The following is a 22,772-nucleotide window of genomic DNA, read 5'->3' as shown; positions in this document are numbered from 1 at the left end:
TGTAAAATCAAAATGCTCCAGCCTGGCCAACATGGTGAAACCCCATCTCTACCAAAAAAGCACAAAAATTAGGCAGGCATGGTGGCACACACCTACAGTCCCAGGTACTTGGGAGGCTGAGGTGAGCAGCTTGAACCTGGGAGATGGAGGTTGCAATGAGCCAAGATTGCGCCACTGCACTCCAGCCTGGAAGACAGAGTGAGACCCTGCTTCCCAAAAAAAAAAAAAAAAACCAAAATGCTAAAGACAGCATCTACTTCCTGGAATTGCTAAGAATGAGCTAAAACATGTAAAGCTTAAAACATGGAAAGCCCAGCACATAGTACGCACTCATTGAACATGAGCTATTATTGAAATCAGCTATTAAATACATAAAGAATAAAGATATACCCCTAAAGGAGCAAGACTGAAAGATATTCTCTATCATGCTGCATGCATGCACTTTTGCAAAGGGCTACATTTTTCTGTTAGTAAAGAAACACAGAAGGTGGGCTGGGCAGTGTGGCTCATACCTGTAATCTTATTGGGAGGCTGAGACAGGCGGATCACTTGAGGCCAGGAGTTCAAGACCAGCTTGGCCAACATGGTGAAACCCCATCTCTACTAAAAATACAAAACAATTAGCTGGGTGTGTTGGCACATTCCTGTAATCCAAGCTACTTGGGCAGCTGAAGCATGAGAATCATTTGAACCTGGGAGGCGGAGGTTGCAGTAAGCTAAGATCACACCACTGCACTCCAAGCTGGGTGACAAAGCAGGACTCTGTTTCAAAAAACAAAAAAAGAGTCATAGAATATAGAAGGTGCCCAAATTCCCAGTGGAAGAATTTTGTTTACTCATCCCTGACACAGCTCAGATATAAATAGGCCCTTTATTTGATCACATAAAATGGTAGTCCTAGAATGTACTTTGAAAAAGGAGGTCCAATCTAGGCTTAGCTCGGAAATGGAGATAGAAGGAAAGCCTTGATCCCTCTTGATGGCATCTGGATAACAGGGCCTGAGCCTGAGTGATATTCATGTTCACCCTTAAAGGGGCCCAAGGAGTGGAGCATCTGGATTGGGGCGAGGGTTCATGACAGTGCATGTGTTTTGAATTGGTGATTCTTTTAACAGAAGCAGTTTGGAACCAAGACTGGGAAGCTGCTGCTAACTGGAATGTTCTAGCCATGTTTCATGTTCCCTGAGGGCAGAGCTGGTGGCTCTCAGTGTATTGGGGGGATTTAAGTTAGATGCTAGGAAGAACTTGTTTACTATAATAGTTGTGAAAGGCAGATACAAATGTGGTTGTAGAATGTTTCTATCTCTAAGAAGATAATCTGAAGATAGTAGAGGGGGAAGTATCTTTCACAGATAGAGGTTATGAACTGAGCATCCTCCAGTAAGAAAGAGGAAGTGAGAACAAAGAAAGTAATAGCATAATACTTCTGAGTAGTTGTTTCTTCAGTCCAAATAGACCTAAGTTCAAATCCTAGCTTACCAGTTCCAATTAACCACTCTGACCCTCAGTTTCCTCCTCTAACAGGAGATCACAGTACACCCGCCTCTGAGAGTGACTGTGAGGTTGAGACAAAATATATCCAATAATATGGGAGGTGTTCAATAAATATTCATTTTATTCTTGTCTTACAAATCTTTTCCTATTCTGCGACTCTATGATTCAGCACTTCCTGGAATTCTAAGGCACTAGAAACTTTCCAAAGAGTTTGAACTGCTTAATTGCTAGCTTCCAAGCTCTTCCCAGCATTTCTTTGAGAGGTGAATAGTAGAAATGGATCACAAATCAGACAGACAAATGCATTTTGTTTGCTGGTCTAGCAATATCCCCTTACATGCTATTTTCTCCATTGTTCTCACTGGGACAAGAATGGGATTGTCAAAAACAAGTCGCACACTGCAGTGTGTAGAATTAGGATGGGATGTGGCTATTGCTCCTGCACTTTGCTGCCTGCAGAGATAAGCACCTGAAGTCTCTTAAGGGCTTGAGACTGGGGTCCAGCACAGGGCGGTGGGAAGGGCATTGCTTTGGGGAACAATTGTCTAGAAGCTCCCGGACTGGCCGGGCTGGTACCTCTCTGCATGACTCCCTGGTCCTCTCCTGTACATAATGCAAGGATGAAATTAGGTGAATGCAAAAGACTCTCCAAACTCAGAGTTTCTCTGAGCTGGTGATTGCTATGGGTGGAGAGTGATTCCTCTGTCCTTTGCTGGTTTCTGTGGGCTATATTCCTGGATCTTGTTTTCTCTTTCTCTTGAGGAAAACATTTTAAAAGTATATGTAAAGTCTTCTCCTACGTGGGAGGCTCTGCGTAGGGGCTGTGTTGGCGGGTAATAAGGGAAGATACAGAGAAAAAAATAACCAACCTGAGCATTTGCTGCTGACAATTACCTTAAGTCTCTTGTGTTTGGCTCTGTAAGTCTCTTGTGTTTGGCTTGGATAGGGAGACCTGTCTGTCTTGTTCTACTTCACAAGAGAACAATAAAGACATGATAAGTGAGAAAAAGCTATGTGATATATCCACATACGTGGGAGGCTCTGTGTAGGGGCAGTATTCGCTGGTAATAACCTCCTCTCCCCTCCTCTCCCCTCCCCTCCCTTCCCCTCCCTTTCCCTCCCTTTCCCTTCCCTCCTCTCCCCTCCCTTCCCCTCCTCTCCCCTTCCCTCCTCTCCTCTTCTCTCTCAATTGCCTCCAATCCTTTTATAGCCTGCCACATCATTAAAAAGAGTCTTATTGTATAAGTCTTGAGCCCAAAGTCTAGAGAAAAAATTTAAATTACAAAGAACTTATGTCCTAAAGAAGTTTGTTCTTTTCCTCACATGTGCAATTTATTCCCCCTTTAAAATGAGAAAGCTGGTGAAGGAAAGAACCACTCATTTCTCAACTCATAGGCGCTATGTTTCTTCAATAAGAACTTCCACAGTGGAATGTAGTTGCCCCAAGGTGGAAACAAACCATTGACAAGCAGTTGTTGAAAAGAGTTGCTTTATGTGATTTTCTATCTATAAAGGGAATGAGCAAAAGAAAGATGTTAACCTATCCTGATTCTATCTCATTGTATTCCTCCAACAGAAAGCCAGAGAGAAACCCAAATTGCTCTCAGTAGCTTTCCATTCAGCTAGAAAAGGAATTGCTGAAATCCCTCCCTCCGTTTGCTACAACTTTGGTTTGCCCTTTCTTGCTGAGTTTGTGGAGGGGTGGCCATACTACAGTCCCCTGGTGCCCCCTGTTGTTCATATTGCGAAAATAACCAGGCAGCATGAACTACTAAACTTTTGGTTCCTTATCTTAAAACGCTTTAAACCTTTTGGATGCATCTCAAAAATCCAAAATTGTGACTCCACCTTTAATTCACTGAGGGGAAGTTTATAGTCAACTTATATTATTATTTCATAAACTTACAGAATGTGAGGGAAGGTCCTTAGAATCTATTCAGCCAATTGTGTGTTTTGTTCTGTTCTGTTTTGTTTTGTTTTACCAAGTATGGGATTAGTTATGAGAGATATTTGCTGTTATTATGTGAAACCAAAGAGGGTTAGGAAATGCTGGGTTAAATAAGAATTAAGTAACATTAAATAAGGAGCTTCTTTCCTGCTGGCCTTCTCAGAGCATTTAATATGGACTGTGTCTCTCCCAAGGGAAAGGCAATTTCCCAATCGTGCTTTTGACAACAGAACCGCTTTTTATATGAATTTCTTGCAGGGCCAATATTCCAGGGAACACACTTGGGAAGTGCTAATCAAGTCCAAATGAATCGTTCTAGAAGTCTGGAAACTGAGGCCCAGGGAGGTGCCAGTGACTGGGTGGTAGTAGACACTGCAAGGCCCCTGTCAGGAGGCTCCCAGGCCACTTCCTCACCAGGATCCCTCCCATTCATTGGAGTTGGCCTTTAGTATTTCTGTATCCATAAAGCGTGTTTACTTGTGGAATGGGGAATGGTGTTGCCTTTAGCCAAGGATGTTGGAAAAGTTTAGTAAACCTTTTTTCAAGAATGTTCTAACTTCTTGGGGAAGAGAATTTGCTTCCGGTATTTTCAATTCAATTTCTTTCTGTCTCTTGTGAAGAACTTCATTGCTTTCTAAAAAGCTCCTATTCAACAAATTTGCATTAAGCACCTACTATGCACAGATACAGAGGAGGTCAAGATAATGCACTACTTTGGATAAAAGAAAATATTTGGGGGTCAAGTTCTGGTTCTGCTACATCCTGACTGTATAATTGGACAAGTTGCTTATCATCTTCTAAGACCCAGACTCCCCATCTATAAAGTGGGGGTAATAATACCCCCTCCAGAGGAATTGTTGAGGATTCCATTAGATAATACATGTTAAATGGCCAGCACAGTGCCAGCACATATAAGTACTCAATGAATATTTGCCACTGCTGTTATTGTTGTTAGGATTGTTATTGTTAGGATTATTGAGGCATGGTCCCTGCCCTCAGGGACTTAGCTCAGCTGGAGAAAGAAGACAAGCACGCTCAGAAACTTTAAATAGCGATATAAGGGAATAGATAGATCAGAGACAGCAACTAGGCTTCACAGAACTCCAATCAGCCTTTAGTGGCTGCCTCCAGTGCTGTGTTGGGAAGAATTCTGAGGGTTTTGCCAGCTACACAAGGAAAAAGCACCACCATCAATTAGTGATGTCTGTCACGGATGTGTGGAGAGTGGGTACGTGCTTATATGACATGTATTTGCCATTCTTAGAATGAATAACGAAATGCCAGGTGTGGCAGATTAGACAGAACAGTGGTTTCTGGAGGAGGTAAGAAAGTTGGACCTGGAGAATGGGTAGGATGTGAATGGAAAACAGATAAAGGGAGGAAGAAATATTTGACACTCAGAACTTGTGGCATATGCCAAGGATAAAACCAACATGGGCCACTTGGGTGGCAGTAAGTAAATTAGCCTGTCTAGAGTAGGTCTTGATGCTAAAGATTAGCTCTATAAATATGGTAACCAGCGATGCCAAGATGGTTTCCCAACATCAGACAAGCTGTCCCGTTGTTTCCATAAGTTCCCTCATATGCTATGTGCCTGAGTTTGAGGTTCAGATAATGTGAACACCACTCAGTCTTTATAACCATCTTCTCTACCATGGAACTGTGCAAAGGCTCTTTCCCACTGCCTTTGCTCATGGAGACTATATTTTGGTGTAAGTCCATGGCTGCTGTTCAGAAAGCCCATCACCCTTTGTGTACTTTAGAAAGTCTTTATGAATGTTTTTCATTATGCATAGATGGTATTGCAGCCCCAGGCATCTGAACGTCTCAACAAATGCACACAAGGAAAAAAGTTGTTGAAAATGAAAAGTGAAGACCCAAGCTACCAGAAACTGTAGCATCAGGTATGCTGTGTGCTTCCTCTATATCTGGTACTACACCAGCTCTGGGAGGGGTGGTGAAAAGGTGCTTATTAAAGCCACAAATGAGCATGAGAAGTTTTGAAAAATTCCTGTTTGCAAGACTTCATTGCTTGGTATCATGAGATTTTATTCATCCCGTCTTTTTTATTATCTACCATGCAATAATAGTAGACAGTCTTCTATAGTAGTTAGGACTTGTGTGGTTACAAGTGACAGAGACCTAATTCTAATTCATTTAGGCAAAAGGAGTGGGAAGGGTATTAAGAGATAATGTGACTGCCGTGAACACTAGCAAGGTTCTGTTTGATTCTTCTTGTTTCTGTGGTTCCACTTAATCTCTTCATTAGCTTCATTCTTCACTCCAGCTAGAGATGAGCCTTCTCTGTGCAGTGAAAAACAAGGGCGCCAATAGCACCTAAATTTACCAGTACATCCACATAGATCTGGTCCCTAGGAAGACACTATCTTAACATTGTCTCTGGTTCCAAGTCAAAACGTCTCAAAAAATAACTCACTGAAGCAGGTTGCATCAACTCCTGTGGCAGCTACAAAGATGGGATTGGGTAAGGGAAACTTCTGGAAGGAGAGGAGGGAGGTACTTGGTAAACAATATAAGAGATGCCTGCTAAAACTTCCCTTATCTACCTTTTCATGCCAACTCAACTTAGCTATCAATCAACAATTCCACTCATTTAATAAGCACCTATTTGCTTATTGAGTGTCTGTTACATGCCAGGTGCTGTGCTAGATTTCAGGGATGCAAAGGGGAACATGACGCTTTTTAAGTTATGTTCCTCTTAGAATGCTAGGCATTCAGAGAGACAGAGGAATATCAAATATTATGGGTTTAGGATGTCTAGGAACTCACCATATAACTGGAGAAAGGAGACTATGTATTTGGAGAATAATAAGTGTTAAACTGTGTGCCATGGGTGATGAGGGTAAGAGAAACTTCAAGGTAACTGAGGTCAGCAAGGCCTGGAGCATTCAGGAGAGGAGAAGCGTCTTGGAGAGATACTTCTGTGAGGTCTTTAAAGGGTGAGGAAGCTTTGTTTATGACTACATGTGTTTAAAGTGCAGTATTTTCACAACATCACACTAAGTGAGGCCCTCTGCATCTGGAGGCGTTCTGGAATGCAGCCGTCAGCCAGTGGCCCTGTTCCTTTCTCAGAGACAGGACTACCACCCACAGCTCTTCTGATAGCCTTGTTTTCAATTGCCATGGCCTGTTGGATCAAAGCCTCTGAGTTTGATGCAAGTTCAAAATAATTTCCTTCAAGGATTAACTCATCTTTTTGGGCCTGAGGAGCTACAACAAGCAACATCTGGTATAGCCTGCAGAGGGATTTTTTTTTTCACCCAAGGAGTTTCAAGTTTCAACATGTGAGCCATCCTGCTGAATAACATCATTGACGGGAAATGACACGCAGAGACCTTATCTTGTAATGAGAGCTCTGTGTAACACCCCACAGTCATGTTTTGCATCGACTATAATAGATGGTGCAAACTGTAACAGGTTCCTTCTCACTTTGTTTCCTGCCAAAGTGACTGAGTTCCACACTGATGGGGTTGAAATCCCCTTGTGGGTTTCCTCTGGGGCCATTCCATAGCCCATCCTAGTGCCGTTAATAACACCCTCCCTGTGTTCGTCAGGCCCACCTTTTAATGCCGTCATAGGGAGTCTCTTGGTCAGTTCCTATTATCTGATCCCATTAGTCACTTCCCTGTCTGCCTAGGTCTCCTGGAAAATTCCTGGGACTATCTCCTTGCTTTTGGTAAATCCTGGCTTCATTCCTCCACGCTGTGTTTTCTGTATTCCCAGCTCTCCCCTTTGCATCCCTTGGGCTAGTCCCACCACCCCTGGAATTCTCTCTGAGGTCAAGATTTTGCAATGTTTTTAAAGGTGAAACAGTGTAATAGCTACAGTTGAGTGTTATGTGTCAGGGATGTATTATTTATAGGGGTGCTATTATCATCACCCATGACTTACCAGTGAGAAAAATGAGGCTCAGAGTTTGATTGAATTGCCCAGGTACAAGACATAAACCCACATCTTTCTCACACTTAAGACTGTGCTCTTTTTAAGGGATAAAATAGGGACCTAAAGAATGGTCATGGGAGTCCCGAGTTCCAAGCAGAGGAGGGAGAAGGAAAGAGAAATGAGGAAAACTCCAAGAGTGGCAGCTCTGAATTCAAAGGAGGAGAATTTTGAGACATAGTCAACTGCGTCTAAAGCTGGAACAGGTTTGAGAATATAGACACCATTGGCATGAAGATGCCTATTGGCAAATCTTTTCAACAAAGATTTCAGTAATGGGTCTGGAAGAGGTTATTAGGAAGAGGGTAAAACGATATAGATGGCAAACAAAAGCAAAGAGCAGCCACATAGATGGTGGAATAAAGCAGGTGAGTTGTTTTGTATCCACTAAATGGAAAACTCTGGGGCAGGTCCCAGAAACTGTGTTTTAACAAACCCTCCAGGTGATTCTGATGCACACTAAAGTTAGCAAACCGCTACAGCAGAACCGTGTTTCTCAGCCTTGGCTGCACACTGAAATCACCTGAAATAATAATGCTTCCATCTGACTTCCTGAAATTCTGATTTAATTGCTCCAGGCAACAGGGTTTTAAAAAAAAACTCTCCAGGTGATTCTCATGTGCAGCCAGAGTTGAAAACTGCTGCTGTACAGGGAGAAGACAGTTGAGGGTATGCAGTCGAGAGGGAGGTGGAAGGGCTATAACAGCATCTGCCATGCACAGCTCTGGCTGTGCCAGGCAAACTGCTAAGGCTGGGCATTTCAAGCTTCAATGGGCAGGCATAAGGATCACCAACAAGTTCCCAGGTGCTTTACAGGCATTGCTTCAAGGAATCCTCGTGACAAGCCTACAAGGCAGGTGCTAGCATTATTCCCACTTTACAGATAAGGGTACTGAGACACCAAGACGTTATCTGACTTGACTGAGGCGTGACAGAAAGGAAATGGTAGGTCTTGAAAATTAGGTCTTGATTCCAAAGTACTTATTCTTTAAAAAAATTATGATAAAATATACATAACATAAAATGTACCACTTTAATCATTTTAAAGTATTTACAATTTCATGGTATTCACAATGTTGTACAACTATCCATTTCCAGGAATTTTTCACCATCCCAAACAGAAACTCTTGTCCATTAAGCAATAATTCCCCATCTCCCCCTGTCCCCAGCCCCTAGTAACTTCTATTCTGCTTTTTCTTTATGAATCAAAGTACTCATTCTTAATCACTATGTTTCAGGATTGGCTCAAATATGAGATGGAGGTATCAAATTTGATCAAACTTTTTCCTTGAATTGATGGCATGTCTGAGCTAAGTGAGGCCACCATCAGCAATTTGTTCCCAAAATATGGAACAACTTGTAACTTCCCCCAAACAGCACATCCTCTTTTGCCTGTGTGCCAAAGCACATGCCAATTTGTCCAGGACATGTGCCTCTTCCCTCCTCGCCTTCATTTAGCAAACTCCATCTTCTTCTCTAAGTCTCTTGCCAGGCATGACCTCTCCTGGGGATCTGAATCAAGTGCTTCAACTAGTGTGGTCCCATAGACCAGGACTTCAAAAGCTGACATTCATTCCAATCACCTAGGGATCTTGTTAAAATGCAGATTCGCATTTACTGAGTCTGGCTCGGGGCACTAAGATTCTGCATTTCTTTCTTTCTTCAGACACAGCGTCTCACTTTGTTGCCCAGGCTGGAGCACAGTGGTGCAATCATAGCTCACTGAAGCCTCAAACTCCTGGGCTCAAGCCATCCATTCTGCTGCCTTAACTCTCAAGTAACTAGGACTACAGATGTGTGCCACCGCACCAGCTAATTTTTTTTTTTTTTTTGAGAGATGGGGTCTTGGTGTGTTGCCCAGGCAGTCCTCAATTTCTTGGCCTGAAGTGATACTCCCACCTCAGCCTCCCAAAGCTGAGATTAGAGATTTGAGCTACTGCCCTAGGACTTAGATTCTGCATTTCTACAGAGCTCCCAAGTGATAGTCATGCTGCTGGTCCCTGAACAACACCCTGAATAGTGAAGCCATAGGTTGTGGTGCTTTGCCATGGTACATATTGCTACAGCATCCCCTTGACTGTTTCTCTACTGCACTATAAATATCTTGAGGGCAAAAACTCATCTTATTATTATATTCCTGGAGCCTAACATTGTACTACCCACAGTGACAATAAATGTGAATAGAGCAATAGATAAACGAGCAAACAGCCTGGAAGGCTAGAAGGAACCAGATCTGTGAGGAACCTCATAAGCCACACTAAGAAATTTGAAATGTATCATGACATTACAGGCAGATACTGAAAGGTCTGAAAAGGGTGATAGATCAAATGTTTATGTGCAGTGTGTAAGATACGTTGGAAAGGACCAAGATTGAAGTCAAGGAAACCGTAGCAAGCTACTACACTAGTCTAAGCAAATAATTTTGAAGGCCTGAACTAAGGCAGTAATAGCAGGGAGAATGTAATGGGAAGAGGATTCAAGACCATATGGACGGGTTGACCATACATCCCCATTTGCTTCAGACAGTTTACCCTGGGTATGATTATTAGTAGTGTCCCATTTGCCCCCCAAAATGCCCTAATTTGGATGATAATTATCTATTCATACTGTACATAGGAGCCTTTTCTTTTTTTTCTTTGAGACGGAGTCTCCCTCACTCTGTCGCCCAGGCTGGAGTGCAGTGGTGCAATCTCCGCTCAATGCAACCTCCGCCTCCAGGGTTCAAGTGATTTTCCTGCCTCAGCCTCCCGAGTAGTTGGGATTAGAGGTGTGTGCCACCACGACGGCTAATTTTTGTATTTTTAGTAGAGACAGGGTTTCACTATGTTGGCCAGGCTGGTCTTGAACTCCTGACCTCAAATGATCCACCGGAGTGGGCCTCCAAAAGTGCTGGGATTACAAGTGTGAGCCACCACACCCGGCCAGGAGACAATGTTAATAGAACATGGGGTGTGGGCTTTGAGCAAAGTGAGATGTCTAGGATAATGCTCATGTTTCTGCCCTGGGTGACCCAACAGATGGTAATATCATTGACCAACCTAGGCAATCCAGGAGACAAAGCAGTAGGAGAAGTTTCTCTTTAAAATAAAAATATTTAAGTTAAGGAGCCATTGCAAAGTATTAAGTAAATTTTGGTACACAGCATGACAAGAAATTTCAAAAGAAGCACAGATGGCTGAAGTTTGGAACACTGATGGAAGGTATCACCAAGTGAAAACATCCTCCCTCCCTGGCGCTCTGAATCAAATTAGTTTCAGAGCAATGTACTACATTAGGAAACCTTCCCTATGTGCTATTCAGACCAACTGCAGACGGGCTGTCACAAAGGCCAACGAATTCCGAGTTTTGTTTCTCACTCCTTATTCTCTTCCCTTCAAGTCATTGCTGTGAATGCTCCAAACAACTGGATCACAGTTGACTGCGGTCATTGAGACAGTCAATATAAAGATATACCAAGCCACGGCCAGGTTGAGTCTGAAGACCACATCGCTTGGTTCAACTGTCCTGAGTCAAAGGTCAGTAACACCAAAATGTTCCACCACATTTAAAAGCCTCATGACTCAAGATCCTTCCTAATCTCTACTCATATTTGCCAACATCTCAGCTTTTTTCTCCTGCCTACAACATTTCAACAAGTAGGTAATTATTTAATAAATCTCAGAACATACCTTTGCTTCTTCTGGCCAGAGACCTGGGGTTTTCCCGGTTTCAGTTTCAAGGTGGCTGTTATTTAAGGGTCCAAATGCAATCAAGCAGAAGAATAAATTCACCTGCTAGAGCCTTTTAAGAGAACTTTAAAACAAAACTGTAGCTTTTCAAGTATTAAAAGGAAATGAAAGACTGAACTAAGCTCAGTATTCATTTTAATATGCGTGTTAAAGGTTATGTTTGCAGCTGTCAAAGCACTGGCCAATTCTAAATACATCACTCTTCACCTTAAATCAGATGTCTTAGGTGGCACCCAGAACCTGCTACTCTGGGCTGACCCTGAGTAAAAGGATTGTTAAAGAAGGTGAAGTTAGTCTTCCAGGCTTTCCTGTCACTCATGCTGATATTAGCCTGATGAGCAAGGGAGAGCAAGAGAGCTGGAACCCAGGAGCCAGAGTCCTCACCACTTCCTGCTGCTGCTTCAGCTCCAAGAAGACTAACTTACATGCTGCTGATCTGATATCACATCCATACATGTGACAAGACTGAGGACTGAGGAAAACAACCCAATTCAAAAACGAACTGAACAGATGTTTCTCCAAAGAAGATATATAGGTGACCAATAAGCACATGAAAAAATGACCAACATCATTAATTCTTAGGGAAATGCAAACCAAAATACTATGAGATATCACCTCACACCCATTAGGAAGGCTACTAACCAAAAAAATGGAAAATATGTCAGGTGCTATGGTTTGTGCCTGTAATCCCAGCTACTTTAGAGGCTGAGGCATGAGGATCTCTTGAGCCAAGGAATTGGAGGCCAGCGTGGGTAACATACCAAGACCCTCAAATCTCAAATAAATAAATAAATAGGAAAAAACAAATGTTGGCGAGGATGTGAAGAAATTAGAATCCTTGTGCACTGTTGGTGGGACTGTAAAATGGTACAGCTGCTATGGAAAACAGTATGGTGGTTCCTCAAAAAATTAAAAATAGAATTTCCATATGATCCAGCAATCCCACTTCTTGGTATATACCCAGAAGAATTTAAAGCAGGGTCTCAAAGAAATATTTGTACACACATGTTTGTAGCAGCATTATTCACAATGTGGAAGCAACTGAAGTGTCCATCAACAGATGATTGGTAAACAAAGTGGGTATAAATGTACAATGGAATCTTACTAAGCCTTAATATGGAAAAAATTCCAACACATGCTACAACATGGATGGTGCTGAGACATTACGCTAAATGAAATAAGCCAGTCACAAAAAGAGAAATGCTGTATGATTCCACTTATATGAGGTATCTAGAATAGTCAAAATCATAGAGCCAGAAAGTAGAATAATGGTTGCCAGGGGCTGGGGCAAGAGGGAATCAGGAGTTATTGTTCAATGGGCACAGAGTTTCAGTTTTACAAGATGAAGAGGGTTCTGGAGATGGATGGTGGTGATGGTTGCACAACATTATGAATGTATTCAAAACCACTGAACTGCACACTTAAAAATGGCTACGACGGCCAGGCGTGCGTGGTGGTGGCTCACGCCTATAATCCTAACACTTTGGGAGGCCCAGACAAAAGGATCTCTTGAGTCCAGGAGTTTGAGGCCAGCCTAGGCAACATAGTGAGACCCTATCGCTACAAAAAATACAAAAATTAGCCAAGCACGGTGGTGCACACCTGTAGTCCCAGCTACTTGGGAGGCTGAGGTGGGAGGATCACTTGAGCCCAGAGGTTGAGGCTGCAGTGAGCCAAGATCACACCACTGCACTCCAGTCTGGGTGGCAGAGTGAGATCTGTCTCAAAAAAAAAAAATCACCAAGATGATAAAATTTATGTTATATTTTACCACAGTAAAGTAATAATAATGGTCACCAAGAGTGTTCAAACATAATAATAAAATGATAATAGTAATAAATTAAAATAACTTTTTTAAAAAGTGAGCACTGAGGACTTCTTTTACCCAGCCCTGTGATAGCCTAGATGGTCCTTTCCCTGGGCCTCACCATGACTTCTCCTTTGGGAAGTCCAGACAGACGGACGACAACCCCCAGTCCCTCTTACCGCACCATCCAGAAGCAAAAGATACCAGGAGTTGAGAGTCATAAGAACCCACACCTCACAGCCACCAGAGCCTGAATCGTACTGAAAGCCTGCTGCACCCTGTCTCACTGCGCAGTGGAATCCTTGGCCTCTTCAGTGCTCCTCCTCAGGCTGTGGTGGTTGCAGGAGAACTGATATGGCTTGGCTATGTCCCCACCTAAAATCTCATCTTGAATTGTAATAATCCCCACGTGTCAAGGGGGGCCCAGGTGGAGATAATTGAATCATGAGGGCGGTTTCCCCCATACTGTTCTTGTGATACTGAGTTCACACGAGATGTGGGGGTTTTATAAGGGGCATCCCCCCCTTTGCTCGGCTCTCATTCTCTCTCCTGCCACCATGTGAAGAAGGATGTGTTTGCTTCCCCTTTCGCCGTGATTATAAGTTTCCTGAGGCCTCCCTAGCCATGTGAAACTGTAAGCCAATTAAAGCTCTTTTCTTTATAAATTACCCAGTCTCTGGTACGTCTTTATTAGCAGCGTGAGAACTGACTCATACAAGAACTGATCCCCATTCCCACCAAAGACCAGGTGTATCATACAAACCCTCTCTTACTGTTTCTACTCCTGATTCCTATCACCTGCTCCCACCCCCACAATTCTTAGATGCCCAGACTTCAACCAGGACCTGCCGTTTTGAAGTGGCAATCCAAACATTTCACCCATTTTTCTAAACTTGCCAGCTTAAGGGTTTCATTTCTCAAGGCCTTATATTATATAACCCTAGAAAAGCTGACAAATTAATTCATACTCCTAAGGCAGTGACTGGGAATCACACTGTCAGCATGGCAAAGGTTAACCGTAGGAGTCACAGTCCTGGGTTTGGTTCTAGCCCCATCATTTGGTATCTGGTGACAACCTCGCTACATCTTAATTTCCTCATGAATAAAATAGGGTTAACTATGAGGAAACGCCCTCCTTACAGTGTCTGTGATATAGGAAATAATCAGTATTAACAGAACATAAGTGATCATGTAAGCAGATGAAGAAATATCCTTAGTTTTTAGGTGAAAGTCCCTGAATACCTGGTACTGAAAAAATTATGATGCCTCCCCATAGGTAATTCCAAATAATATTTTCTTTTTCCAAATGACATAAAGGATACATTTAGGCAAACATAAAGCTGATTATTTCCAAGTCAATTTTTAAGTTTCTCAAAGGTAAAGTTTCTTTCCTCTCTCTCTCTCTCTCTCTCTCTGACTACTGAATTGCTGGTGTCCCCCACTCATTGAGTCATTCTGCAGTAACCACCAAGCTACAAGGTCAGGGAGGATCAAAAGGTCTGTGGGTTGCCCCTGGTGTTCTGTCCTGGATCACTTTGCCAGAGAGGAGAGAATATTGTGCTTGATTGTTGATGTCTGTAAAAATACAATCGTCTCCAGCTGGGCATGGTCGCTCACGCCTGTAATCCTAGCACTTTGGGAGGCCGAAGTGGGCGGACCATGAGGTCAAGAGATCAAGACCATCCTAGCCAACATGATGAAACCCCGTCTCTACTAAAAATATAAAGCTTAGCTGGGCGTGGTGGCACACGCCTGTCGTCCCAGCTACTCGGGAGGCTCAGGCAGGAGAATCACTTGAACCCGAGAGGCGAAGTTGCAGTGAGCCAAGCTCGCACCACTGCACTTTAGCCTGGTGACAGAGCGAGACTCCATCTCAAAATTTAAAACAAACAAACAAAACAACAACAACAACAACAAAAATACATCCTCTCAAAAGATAGGGAAGAAGTGTAAGACAAGTAACAGGACTTCAGCGAGATACCAAAAAGGAAGTGAGTACAAACTGGAAGAGGCATTGACAAAACTTTTGCAACTAATTGCAAAAGTTTGCAAGATCATAATGAAAAACCCAAGTGAACTGGAGACACTCTTGCCCATAAAAAGAAGACATGTCCGGGTTGGGGTAGGAGGCAGAAGATAGGTGAGTTCTGCTGTCAGCAGAAAGAGGAGCACACAGCCTTGCATTCCCTGCAGTAGGTGGTTACATAAAAGAGGGAACAGAAGAGGTGTGTGTAGAAGACCCGTGACCAAGTTGGCAGGCCTCTGTCCCACACCATCTACTGCAAAATCCACATTTGCACCTGATCTACAGTCATGGATGACTGAGTCACCAAGGAAACATGAACTTATATTCAGCATCCTCAGGTTAGAAGAAAATGTGTGTAATCACAAAGATTCCTGGCTTGTCCGAGTGCAGTGGTGTTTACAACTAATTGATCGCAACCAGTTACAGATTTATTTATTTTAGTTTAGTTTTCTTTGAGACAAAGTCTCGTTCTATAGCCTAGATTGGAGTGCAGTGGCACGATCTCTGCTCACTGCAACCTCTGCCTCCCCAGGCTCAAGCGATACCCCCCTCTTGCCTCCTGAGTAGCTGAGACCACAGCTTGCACCACCATTCTTGGCTAATTTTTTAAATTTTTTTGTAGAGATGGGGTCTTGCTATGTTACTTAGGCTGGTCTTGAACTCCTAGACTCAAATGATCTACCCGCCTCAGCCTCCCAAAATGTTGGGATCACACGCGTGAGCCACCATGCCCAGCCCAGTTACAGATTTTTTTCTTCCTTCTCCACTCTCACTGCTGCACTTGACCAGCCTTTAAAAAAAAAAAAAAAGAAAGAAACAAAAAAGAAAAAGAGGTTCCTAACAAAAATATTCAAGTAAAAAAGTTCTAAAGGCAAGATAACATTTGCAAAATAACAGATGAAGTTTCCAACATCCCACTCACTGGAATTTGTCCTAGAGATTTCCTTGCACATGTGTGATATGATGTATGTACAAGGTCATCTACTTGTAATTGCAAAAATTTGGAAACCACATAATTGCTCATCAGATAGGGAACTTGCTAAATAAATGATGGCACAGCCATACAATGGAATACTGTAAGGTATAAAACAAAGCAAATTAACCTTAAAAATGAGGGAGATCTCTATGTATTGATAAAGGAAACATCTCCAAGATACATTGCTATGTCAAAAAAGTAAGGCTCAAAACTGTTCTTACAGTATACTAATTTGGGGTGAAAATGAAAAGGAAAACGTTAAAATATTTGTTTTGGCTTGTATTTTCATAAAAATCTGATAAAAAGTGGATACCTAGGCTGAGCACAGTGGCTCACACCTGTAATCTCAGCACTTTGGGAGGCCAAGGCAGGCGGATCACTTGAGGTCAGGAGTTGACCAACATGGTGAAACCCTGTCTCAACTAAAATACAAAAGTTAGCTGGGTGTGGTGGTGGGCACCTGTAATACCAGCTACTTGGGAAGCTGAGGCAGGGAGAACTGCTTGAACCCAGGAGGCATAGGTTGCAGTGAGCTGAGATCATGCTACTCCACTTCAGCCTGGGCGACAGAGCAAGGCTCTGTCGTTAAAAAAAAAAAAAAAAAAAAAAAAGTGGATATCTGCAAGGAGAGAGTGAATTGAGTAAATGCAGGTAGGGAAAAGCAAAAAGGCTTTTCACAGTATACCTTTTCATATTGTTTTGAGTTTTGAATTGTGAAAATATTACTCAAATTTTTTGAAATAAATGGTTCAGGGGGTGAGGGTTGTGAGTGGGGGCAGCTGAATCCACTTATATAAAAATGATCTTTCCTGTGAAGGCAAGTCTGTACTGAAAAAAAAATGCAAAAGAAAAAAATGAAATAAAAATGACTCTAGATGATAGTTGTTTACTGTATTTTCATATTAGGGGAACTCTTGTGTATCCATTATCAGTCAGGACTCTTACAGGTAAAATCATCTGAAGTCTAACTCCAGTTTATTGAAGTTAGAGACTTTATCAGCTCATGTAACTGAGTCGTCCAGAGGTGGAACTGGCCTTGAGGATGGTGGGGCACAGAGCAGTGCTCCTTGCTGAGGAACTACCTAAACCACAGGCTTTCCAGGCACCCCACGCCACCCCGTCTTAAACCACAAGGCAGATTGTTGACATCTTCCTCAGCATTTTCCAAGCATGGACTCTGGAGGTCACTGCCACCTCCAACATGGGTCTGGAAAACTGCTACCCTTCATTTTAGAAGATGAATCTGGGGCCGGGCGCAGTGGCTCACGCCTGTAATCCCAGCACTTTGGGGAGCCAAGATGGGTGCATCACCTGGGGTCAGGAGTTTGAGACCAGCCTGGCCAACATGGTGAAACCCTGTCTCTACTACAAATACAAAAATTAGCTGGGCGTGGTGGCATGCGCCTGTAATTCCAGCTACTTGGGAGGCTGAGGCAGGAGAATCGCTTGAACCCGGGAGGCAGAGGTTGCTGTGAGCCGAGATCACGCCATTGCACTCCAGCCTGGGCGACAAGAGCGAGACTCTGTCTAAAAAAAAAAAAAAAAAAAAAAAAAAAAATGAAGATGAATCTGCTGGGAGTGACCAAGGAGAGTCAGAGGCTTCTCCTCCAGGGCTTGAGGCTGTGGTTGCTCTCTTGTGCAACAGACATGATGCAGATGCATGACATTCTGGACTGGAGAATGTGGGGCATTCAGAGCCAGACCAAGAGTATGTGTGTGGGGAGACGGCTGGGCTTACTGGCTTGCCAGAATCAGGCAGTGGGAGAGAATGGGATACCACTTATCTTCCTCCCACTCCCCTTTCCTCATTCCAGGCTCAAACACCAGACTAGTGTGTCTCCAACTGAGTAAAAATGGGAACATGGGACAATGCCACATGTAAGGAATGTTAGGAAACCCAAACACAGCACAACACTGATGCACTTAATTTGGTTTATAAAATGCAATTTCTGTGGAATCCTCAGTGTTAATGTTAAAAAAGAAAAAAAAAAAGACCCACTTGATTAGAAATCAGGAAAACTGATTCTAAATAAGAGACACTAAATAAGAAAACAAGAACTTTTTAAAAATATAAACATAACTTTGGAGTTAACACAAGGTTTTTGTATTATCTAAATGGCTTATTTACTTTCAAATTCGAAAAGGTTATTAGCAAGTATATTTTGGTTTACTGTGAAGCGAGTTAGGTTGCCTTTTGGGCGGGGAGGGTATGAAGGGAAAGGGGGTTTTAATTCTACAGTGGAATCTGCTGCTTTTTGTCTGTTAGAGACCCATTTCCACCCTTTTCTTCTGAGAAACAACCTTCAGCCACCATCAGCCCACTAGTTTCGGCGGTGTTGACCCCTCCCTGCTCCAGAGGTGAACATGTGACTCACGTCTGACCAATCAGAGCCTCAGACCTCCCAATGGCATGTGATCCAAGCCAGCCAATGGGAGACAATTCATGGGCTTGTGGTTGGAACTGTTGAGAAGTCCTTTCTTTCCACCTCTTTTTGTGGATAGGTTGTGGGTCTGGGGGTTCTAGATGCCCTGTCACTTCTATCAGGGGAAAGCCTGCCTGAGAATGAAGCCAGCTGAGAGGAGGAAAGAGAAGTTGGAGTCCTAATGGCACTTTTAGATCCAGCCCCCATAAAGCCAGTTCCACTCCTAAATGTCTCAGTTACTTGAGGCAATATAGATTCCCTTTTCCCCTTCTTGTTGGATTTCTGATTCCCTTTTCTCCTTCTTGTTGGATTTCTGATTCCCTTTTCTCCTTCTTGTTGGATTTCTGATCTCTTCATCTCTGAATCTTGAGTGACATAAACTTCTGATGCTAACGTTTGAGAATCTACGAAGATGAACCAATCGTGCCCACGTGGAAAACTACATGAATTAAGAAAGCATAAGGTTTAAATCGTAATCATACCTTTATAAAGTCCAAATGGATCTGGAATCATCTCCCAGATAAATCTACTTCATAGTAGTAGCCAAGTGATATTTTCTAATTTAACAGCAAAACAAATTACTGGGCCAGGCGCAGTGGCTCACGCCTGTAGTCCCAGCACTTTGGGAGGTCGAGGCAGGCAGATCATGAGGTCAGGAGATTGAGACCATCCTGGCTAACACAGTGAAACCCCATCTCTACTAAAATACAAAAAATTAGCTGGGCGTGGTGGTGGGCGCCTGTAGTCCCAGCTACTCGGGAGGCTGAGGCAGGAGAATCCCTTGAACCCAGGAGGCAGAGGTTGCAGTGAGCCGAGATCGCGCCACTGCACTCCAGCCTGGGCAACAGAAAGAGACTCCATCTCAAAAACAGAAAAACAAATTTTAAAATAAATATTTCATTTCATTTAACTATTTCAGCCATAAGGTACAAGGAAATGCAAGTTCATGGATATTAGAAATAATACCAAAATCCGAATAAGACCGGGTTTAGAGGTCGCATGGAATCTGCTGAATATGGTTGTCTGGAGTGATTTTTTTGGCCTTCTCAGTTTGCCAAGACAGGTAGGTGTACCATTTGGTCTAGCCCGTGTAACAATTTTCTGTGGTAACTGTCCAGGTTGAAGATTGTTGTCATAGAATGGTGATGCCGAAACAACTGAAATGTTTACAGTACACAAAGAAAAACAGTCAACATTACCAGGCGATACAGACTATTTGTTTATTATGAAACTAACTGGTAAAGCAGAGTAAATCCCATTCTATATTATAGCACTACAAACATCCTTAGTCATTCCTTCATTTGTTCATTCATTCATTCATGCATTCAGTGAGTATTTCTTAAGCTCCTACAGTGTACCAGGAGGCACTCTGTTCATTGTGGCATTACAAAGATAAAGATTAAGGCACGTACTCTGCCCTCAAGGAGCTCCCAATCTAATTGTGCAGAGAGATGTGAAAATGAAGCATGAAACTCCATCGTGAGGAGCGCCGAGAACAAAAGTCTGCTCGAAGTGAGGCAGAAGTATGGATTCATTCCACCACAGGTCCCATGGGAAAGGTATGTGGCATTTCTCCTCCTCTTCAGAATAATGAATGCTTGACATAGCTTTCATCACTGTCTTTCAGTTCCAGTGTTACAAGGGGGATCCCCAGCACTACAGTGAGTCGCAGTGAACCCAGAAATGATTAGCATTCTCTTTATTCATTTATTTATTTATTTATTTTTGAGACAGGGTCTCACTCTGTTGCCCAGACTGGAGTGCATTGGCATGGCTCACTGCAGCCTCCACCTCCTGGGCTCAGGTGATTCTCCCACCTCAGCCTCCCAAGTAACTAGGACTACAGGCACACCACCGCACTTGGCTAATTTTTGTATTTTTGTTGTAGAGATGGGATTTTGCCATGTTTCCCAGTCTGGTCTCGAAGTCCCAGGCTCAAGCAATCCTCCTGCCTAGGCCTCCCAAAGTGCTGGGAATACAGGTGTGAGCCACCACAGCCAGCCAGCATTCTTAATGTTTTCTTACAAAGGTGTATCTCTGTCAAACTCTTCCATTCACTTAAAGAAAACCATTTATGATGCGTCTTAAAGAAAGCATGCTTACATTTGCCTTTTATTGCCAGATTTCTCTACTTGGCTTTATTAAAGGGCCCAAATGGCAGCGGTAGGGGTGTCGGACATGTTCTAATAACATATGCTAAACACATAGAGGGGAGGCAGCTTGTCATTGCAGAGGTACCTGCCACTGAGCCTCACCCCTTTACTCACCCAACAAATAGTTAATGAGGAGCTACCCCGAACTCCCTACACCCCCATGCCCTCCGAAGCTGTCTACATGGGCTGCTCTGCCCTTGGCATGTGCCCTTGAGGGCTGATCTCACTTGGCCACACATGGGTTTATGCTCTAGGATTTGAAAGAGAGAATTCCTGCTCTTCACCTTTCAAGCCTAAGCCTTAACATTTCAAGGGCTGCTTCTTCCTCTGGAATAACTTGCTTTTTATTGGTCATTCATGATTTGGGTGAAAAGATGGAGTCTGTAGTTCTTGCTTAACACAAAGGGCTTGACTTATATTTCTTATAGTGTTGTGGGACATCCAGCCACAGGCATGAAGAGAAGGAGCAAATAAACAGTACCCTGAACCCAGAAGTTCTTCTTGGCTGCCCCCTTCTCCATTCTTCTTGTCTCGCTCTTGGGCCTTTCTTCTCTTTGCCACATTTACTGGCATGAAATGAATTTGAGATGTGAGCTTCAGTTCTGAGTCAGACTATATATCAAGTTGTGCCAGCAACAATAAAGGATGGTTTTCACCTGACTTGTTGAAACCATTCCACCTGGCATTACACCCACTACGAATGGGCAATTAGCAGCAAGAGCAAAAGGTGCGACCTCATGAGCAGGGAGAAACAAGGTGGCAGAATTTCAAAACCAAGGTCTTCCGTATTCACTTAGAGTTACTGTACATGGTGGTATAAAGGCCTCTCAGTAGAAGCACTTTGTTTAGTTCGGCTAAAAATCAGAGTATCTTAGTGTTAATGTATCAACTAAATCTTTATGATTTGGGTATATGATCTTTATAAATTGAATTTTATAAGTGCTCTCCTGATAAAAAAAATTATACAGTTCATTCACTAAGAATAAAATTTACAAATGAATATCCCCTGATTTCACTTTGTAATAAATGTACTGAACCTGAATTACTCATTTAGTGTATTTCCATAAATCTCACACAAATAAAACAAAAACGACAGAATCTGTACAAAAATAAGAGCTCTCCATTTTTTGTAACACCTTATTTTTTCTGTATATGAATTTGTTAATATAAAAAAATCTACTTAGAAAATTATAAAAACATCACTACAGTGTCATAAGGCTGTACATTCTCTAGGAAACACATCTTTAGAAATACAACTATTAGGAACTCGTAATGAAATTCAAGTCCTGGATGTGCTGCAGATGCATCCCAATAATCAGGGTGGCCTCAAAACCCTGTCTGTCCTCTGTAGCACTTTTAGAAATGGCCTGCGACATTCACTGAGTGAGACTGAATTCTTCTTTCTTCAAATATCACCATTGATTTCTGTGGATATCCTTAGGGTGACACTCTATTTTTAAAAATGAAAGAGAAAGGTTTAAAAGAAGTTAAACAATCCCAGCGTTGACAATGACATTTCCAACAGCTCTGCACCACCTAAGGAATGATCTCACTATGGTTTGTGCTATGCTTGAGTCAGGTCCTAAAGAATTTTCTTGGCTTTCTATATCCTTTGAGCTAATAATTCACTTGTTTCAAAATGTAAGATTTTTCCTGTGGACAAATCTGATATAGTCCCATCTTCTATCTGCTTTGGGAATGTTTTTTGAACAACACACTTTTATTTTTTATTTATTCATTTATTTATTTATTTTGAGATAGAGTCTCGCTCTTGTTGCCCAAGCTGGAGTGCAATGGCATGATCTCAGCTCACGACAACCTCCGCCTCCCGGGTTCAAGTGATTCTCCTGCCTCAGCCTCCTGAGTAGCTGGGAATACAGGCATGTGCCACCACCCCCAGCTAATTTTGTATTTTTAGTAGAGACGGGGTTTCTCCATGTTGGTCAGGCTGGTCTCGAACTCCTGACCTCAGGTGATCTGCCCGCCTCGGCCTCCCAAAGTGCTGGGATTACAGATGTGAACCACCACACCTGGCATACTTTTATTTTTAAAAAAGATATATTTACTTTGTATTATTTGGAACTAGTAAGTGAGACCTCCTAAAAGAAAACAACCAGGATACATGACTATTAACATCAAACAGCAGAGGACATATGAAAATCTCATTGGTGGGAGAGCTATTAAAGATGCCTCCCATTGGGAATAAGCTAACACATGAAGTTGCACAATCCTTACAGATTTTTCTCAAACACATTAA

At 42.6% G+C, this 22,772-nt stretch overlaps 1 protein-coding gene and 1 pseudogene across 4 annotated transcripts in view, besides 7 other annotated features; both read right to left on the bottom strand.

The window, feature by feature from the left end:
* Positions 3,056 to 3,350: an enhancer, noted in NCBI's record as "tiled region #5561; HepG2 Activating non-DNase unmatched - State 12:CtcfO". NCBI's record gives its function as "activates a minimal TATA promoter and a strong SV40 promoter by Sharpr-MPRA in HepG2 cells {active_cell/tissue: HepG2}" and the evidence as "EXISTENCE:reporter gene assay evidence [ECO:0000049][PMID:27701403]".
* Positions 6,507 to 6,965, bottom strand: RPL9P24 (ribosomal protein L9 pseudogene 24; annotated as a pseudogene).
* Positions 6,616 to 6,875: an enhancer, noted in NCBI's record as "active region_6874". NCBI's record gives its function as "activates an Ori minimal core promoter by ATAC-STARR-seq in GM12878 lymphoblastoid cells {active_cell/tissue: GM12878}" and the evidence as "EXISTENCE:reporter gene assay evidence [ECO:0000049][PMID:35858748]".
* Positions 11,041 to 11,150: an enhancer, noted in NCBI's record as "active region_6873". NCBI's record gives its function as "activates an Ori minimal core promoter by ATAC-STARR-seq in GM12878 lymphoblastoid cells {active_cell/tissue: GM12878}" and the evidence as "EXISTENCE:reporter gene assay evidence [ECO:0000049][PMID:35858748]".
* Positions 11,511 to 11,630: an enhancer, noted in NCBI's record as "active region_6872". NCBI's record gives its function as "activates an Ori minimal core promoter by ATAC-STARR-seq in GM12878 lymphoblastoid cells {active_cell/tissue: GM12878}" and the evidence as "EXISTENCE:reporter gene assay evidence [ECO:0000049][PMID:35858748]".
* Positions 12,450 to 12,529: an enhancer, noted in NCBI's record as "active region_6871". NCBI's record gives its function as "activates an Ori minimal core promoter by ATAC-STARR-seq in GM12878 lymphoblastoid cells {active_cell/tissue: GM12878}" and the evidence as "EXISTENCE:reporter gene assay evidence [ECO:0000049][PMID:35858748]".
* Positions 12,740 to 12,789: a silencer, noted in NCBI's record as "silent region_4774". NCBI's record gives its function as "represses an Ori minimal core promoter by ATAC-STARR-seq in GM12878 lymphoblastoid cells {active_cell/tissue: GM12878}" and the evidence as "EXISTENCE:reporter gene assay evidence [ECO:0000049][PMID:35858748]".
* Positions 18,638 to 19,837: an enhancer, noted in NCBI's record as "BRD4-independent group 4 enhancer chr12:102317122-102318321 (GRCh37/hg19 assembly coordinates)". NCBI's record gives its function as "activates an origin of replication core promoter dependent on BRD2, P300/CBP, MED14 and CDK7 cofactors, and independent of BRD4, by STARR-seq in HCT116 cells {active_cell/tissue: HCT116}" and the evidence as "EXISTENCE:reporter gene assay evidence [ECO:0000049][PMID:35650434]".
* The window catches only part of DRAM1 (DNA damage regulated autophagy modulator 1), a 46,033-nt gene continuing 42,829 nt past the window's right edge, over positions 19,569 to 22,772 (bottom strand). For all 4 annotated transcript variants that reach the window (NM_018370.3, XM_005269004.3, XM_005269005.3 and 1 more), the window contains one exon: positions 19,569 to 21,965. In NM_018370.3, the coding sequence (NP_060840.2) occupies positions 21,921 to 21,965 (45 nt within the window). In that variant the 3' untranslated portion in view covers positions 19,569 to 21,920. The remainder of the gene's footprint in view (positions 21,966 to 22,772) is intronic.

Source organism: Homo sapiens, chromosome 12 (assembly GCF_000001405.40).
Source record: "Homo sapiens chromosome 12, GRCh38.p14 Primary Assembly".
In the NCBI taxonomy this organism is placed as follows: Eukaryota; Metazoa; Chordata; class Mammalia; order Primates; family Hominidae; genus Homo; species Homo sapiens.
Note: the sequence above shows the minus strand (reverse complement) of the source record. Positions and strands in the feature narration are given on the sequence as shown.